This window comes from Homo sapiens, chromosome 6 (assembly GCF_000001405.40).
Source record: "Homo sapiens chromosome 6, GRCh38.p14 Primary Assembly".
Classification (NCBI taxonomy): Eukaryota; Metazoa; Chordata; class Mammalia; order Primates; family Hominidae; genus Homo; species Homo sapiens.
The window spans coordinates 15065766-15070543 of record NC_000006.12 but is presented as its reverse complement, the minus strand read 5'-3'; the positions used below and the strand labels follow the sequence as shown (position 1 = coordinate 15070543).

Here is a 4778-nt window from a genome sequence, read left to right as displayed (position 1 = left end):
CAGGGCTTCACTAGGAGAGAGGAAGGAGGGAGATGAATGTTGGGTAGGCCACTGTATTAGTCCTTTCTCACACTGCTATAAAGAAATACCTGAGACTGGGTAATGTATAAAGAAAAGAGGTTTAATTGGCTCATGGTGCCACAGGCTGTACAGAAAGCATGGCTGGGGAGGCTTCAAGGAAATTTACATTCACAATCATGGCAGAAAGGGAAAGGGAAGCAGGCACATCTTCACTGGCCAGAACAGGAGGAAGAGAGAGGCGGGAGGTGCTACACACTTTTAAACAACCAGATCTCATGAGAACTCACTCACTATGGCGAGAGCAGCAAGGGGGAAATCCATGCCCCCATGATCCAGTCACCTCCCACCAGGCCTCTCCTCCAACATCGAGGATTACAATTTGACAAAAGATTTGAGTGGCGACACAGACCCAAATCATATCAGCACCAACAAGACCTACGAAAATGAAGTTAAGATAGAACTTGGGCAAGTTAACCTTGTTCTTAACTGCTGTACCTCATTGCCTGATGTCTGTTCTCTCTCAAATATTCCACGTGTCTAATCAATTAGAAACATTTCAACCAGTATAAGAGTATATGTAAACTAGTATAAGAGTATAAATAAATGCTGTCTTAATCGCTAGACACATTCAGCTTCTCTATATAGCCTTTTTCAAAGGATATTTTGTAAGTACCAATTAATATTGAAGAAGATTTTGGTCTAAGATATCTGATTGTCAGTTTACGAGTGAAGCGTTTTAGTTTCAAAGCTCCAGATCTCTTTCTGATTCCCTAATATGCAAGTATACAAGATTTCATTCCATAATTAAATTAAAATAGTTTATCCACAATAAAATCTGGGAAAATCAAACAATGTTTATCTTCTCCTGGGTTTATTTATTAAGACAAACTCCTCTAAGGGAGGTGGAGCAAGATAGCCAAATAGATCCCTCCAGCAATCACCCCCACTGCCCTTGCAGGAATACCAGATTGCAGAACTATCCACACAAGAAAGCACCTTCATAAGAATTAAAAATCAGGCATCCTCTCCACCCCACAGCCACTACCGCTGTGGCATGGTCAAAACCAAAACCAAAGCCAAGGCCGGGTGTGGTGGGCCACACCTGTAATCCCAGCACTCTTTGAGAGACCAAGGTGGGCAGATTGCTTGAGGCCAAGAGTTCAAGACCAGCCTGGCCAACATGGTAAAACCTCATCTCTTCTAAAACTACAAAAATTAGTTGGGCATGATGGTGCACGCCTGCAATCCCAGCTACTTGGGAAGCCAAAGCAGGAGAATCGCTTGAACCCAGGAGGCAGAAGTTGCAGGTTGCAGTGAGCTGAGATCGTGCTACTGCACTCCAGCCTGGGCGACAGAGTGAGACTATCTCAAAAAAAAAAAAAAAGAAAAAAGAAAAAAGAAAAAACAAACAAACAAACAAACAAACAAAACCAAAAAAAAAAAACCAAGTGTCATTTTATGAGACAGATCTCAATAATGGAACTTACAGCTCATCAGGGTAGGGACACAACTCGGCACAGTAAAAATGAACCCCAGGCACCGTCTCCAGCATTTCCTGAGGTTTTCAGGAGTGAGACCAACCCTAAGTAAATTCTGACTGTCTCCAATGCTCCAGGAATCTAACTGAGCCCATAACCTTTTTTTGGTAGTGTTACGGTGAATTTTATTTTCACTATGCAATTTTTGTTATATTCTGGTGATTGCTAGAATTATGTATTCACTGTTATATCATAATAAGACTCTTTATGCATGTATGATTTTTCACAAATACCTTTTATTAATAAAATTTCCTAATTTTACATGGTTAAAAGTGAAAGTGGCAGATCTGTAGTCTCATGATCCTCTGCTATGATTTATTGGTGAATTGCAAAAGTTAATGTAATTTAAAGTTGGCTCAACAAGGGGGTATTGTACTATTAGAGTCCATATTTCCAATGTGGCCTCAAATATATATAGTGACATTTGAAATGAAATATATTAAACTTAACAAAAAAGAGACAAACTCCTTTAATTCACCTTAAGTTGGGAAAAAGAATCAGAACCAGTGTATCAGTTAGGCAGCTTTCAGTTTTAACAACAGCTCAAATTGATTTACACAATAAATGGAACATAAACAGGCACGGTGGCTCAAGCCTGTAATTCCAACACTTTGGGAGGCCAAAGCAGGCGCATCACCTGAGGCCAGGAGTTCAAGACCAACCTGGCCAACATGGTGAAACCCCATCTCTACTAAAAATACAAAAATTAGCCAGGCGTGGTGGTGTATGCCTGTAGTCCCAGCTACTGGGGCAGCTGAGGTGGGAGAACTGCTTGAACCCAGGAGGTGGAGGCTGCAGTGAGCCGACATCGCTGCATTCCAGCCTGGGCGACTGAGCAAGAATCTGTTGCTAAATAAAGAAATGAATGAGCTGGGCGCAGTGGCTCATGCCTATAATCCCAGCACTTTGGGAGGCCAAGGCTGGTGGATCATGAGGTCAGGAGATCGAGACCATCCTGGCTAACACAGTGAATCCCCATCTCTATTAAAAATACAGAAAAATGGGGCCGGGCACGGTGGCTCATGCCTGTAATCCCAGCACTTTGGGGGGCCGAGACGGGCGGATCACGAGGTCAGGAGATCAAGACCATCCTGGCTAACACGGTGAAACCCCGTCTCTACTAAAAATACAAAAAAATTATCTGGGCACGGTGTCGGGCACCTATAGTCCCAGCTACTCGGGAGGCTGAGGCAGGAGAATGGTGTGAACCCGGGAGGTGGAGCTTGCAGTGAGCCGAGATCGCTCCACTGCACTCCAGCCTGGGCGACAGAGCGAGACTCTGTCTCAAAAAAAAAAAAAATACAAAAAAATACAAAAAAATTAGCTGGGCATGGTGGCGGGAGCCTGTAATCCCAGCTACTCAGGAGGCTGAGGCAGGAGAATCGCTTGAACCGAGGAGAAGAACTTGCAGTGAGCCGAGATCGCGCCACTGCACTCCAGCCTGGGCAGGAGAGTGAGACTCCCTCTCTAAAGAAAGAAATGAATGAATGAATGAATGAATGGATGGGTGGAATATATTGGCTTGCATCTACTGGAAAACCCAGAGCTAGGGCAGGCTTCTTGTAGCTCAGGGATGTCTCCGAAGATCCTGTTTCTCTCATTCTCTCCTCTCTGCCTTTGGTGGCTCTGCTCCATCCCCGCTCATCTCAGGGTCACAAGATGGCTGCCGGTAACTCCTGGACTACATGCTCCCTGTTGATATGTGTTGACAAAGGAGTCACTCAAAGACTAGGAAACTTCCTTCCTGAAGTCCCCAGCAATGTCTGCTTGTTGACCTAATCCAGTCTCTGGCTAGGGGAAAGGAATAGGCTGATCGGCTTCCTCTGTATCATATACCTCAGTCCTGGCGTTGACCCTCAATGACCAACAGAGACCAGGGCCTGCAGGAAAGGGAAGGGGAAATGACGCTGGGAACGGACCGCATTCAAAGTTTAACTGCAGCAGCTTACAGGTTCTTGATGGCGGATTCCTCACAGACTTCCCAGAAACATTGCGCATGGCGGTTGAGAGAAAAGGGTCAGTGAGAGGGGAACGGAGAGAAAGAGAACAGAAATCACACTGTAGGCACACGTTGTCAGGATTTAGCAATAATTCTCTAACCAACCCAAAGTGTCCGTGGGTGGAAAGTTGAAAATCATGTCCTGACAAAGCTGGCTGAGTCATCCCTACCCTCCAAGGCCTTCTTCCTCCTCCCTATTTATAGGACACTCTTCCAAGCCGCTGAGAGCTTCACCCTCTATTTAATTTTTCTTATGTTTATCTGACACTCTAGCCGTGGGCTAGTACCTCCCCACACAATGAGGGGTGGATCCTCCCAGAAGAACCTCCTTTAGGAGACCACCATTGCACTTAGTTCTCAACAGTGAGGGGATTGGCCTGGGATGATCTTTAAGCAGTCTCAGCCTCATTTATTCGACTTCATTCATTCGTTCGTTCATTCACTCACTCATTTTGCAAGTATTTATTGAGTGCCTATCACGTGCCAAGCATTATTCTATGCACTGGGTTGACAGAATTAAATAAAACTCTCAAAGTCTCCATCAACGGGAGCTTTCATAATAGAGGAGAAGATAGGAATCAAAAAAATATATTTACACTATAAAGTTAGGAAATGATAAATGCTATGAAGAAAAATAAAACAGGATTAGGAGCAGAGAATGTGGGCGAGGGGTTATTGACTGTGTTAAGGTGGTAAGGGAGGTCCTTCCTGAGGAAGAACCAACACACACAACCTCACAGTGACAGAGAAGAATCCCTGAATAATTAATTCATTAACTGATTGAATAGACCCAGAGCTGGGGACTCCCTCAGCCCTTTTCCCAGAAGAAGGCCTGTTTAGTTCAGTCCAGATTAAGTATAAACTCTTTGGTCTCCAAAAGAGGGATGAAACAAGCCATTCTACCTTAAAATTGAAAGGGCAAAAATGCAGAGGAGTAAGTATATAAATACTAGCTTGCCTTTAAATTCTTTGCACATTTGCAGAGAGCTTTATGAGTGGAGGGGTGGTCCTTAGAGTAAATCTGCCTTTTGGCAAATGAGCATTTTCTCCAAATGGGCCCAGATGGACTATCTTCCCCTCACTCGAGGGCTGGTTGGTGACGCCCATGTGGATGCAGGGGATGAAAGCACCAATTTGACCCAGGCATTCTTTGACCTACATGTTTATGTGGGGATTAGGAGTAGAATGAGTTGTCACTGAAAATATGTGCTTTGTGTATT

General features: G+C 44.3%; 1 annotated feature.

Moving 5' to 3' along the window:
• Window positions 3097-4296: an enhancer, noted in NCBI's record as "MED14-independent group 3 enhancer chr6:15066479-15067678 (GRCh37/hg19 assembly coordinates)". NCBI's record gives its function as "activates an origin of replication core promoter dependent on BRD2, BRD4, P300/CBP and CDK7 cofactors, and independent of MED14, by STARR-seq in HCT116 cells {active_cell/tissue: HCT116}" and the evidence as "EXISTENCE:reporter gene assay evidence [ECO:0000049][PMID:35650434]".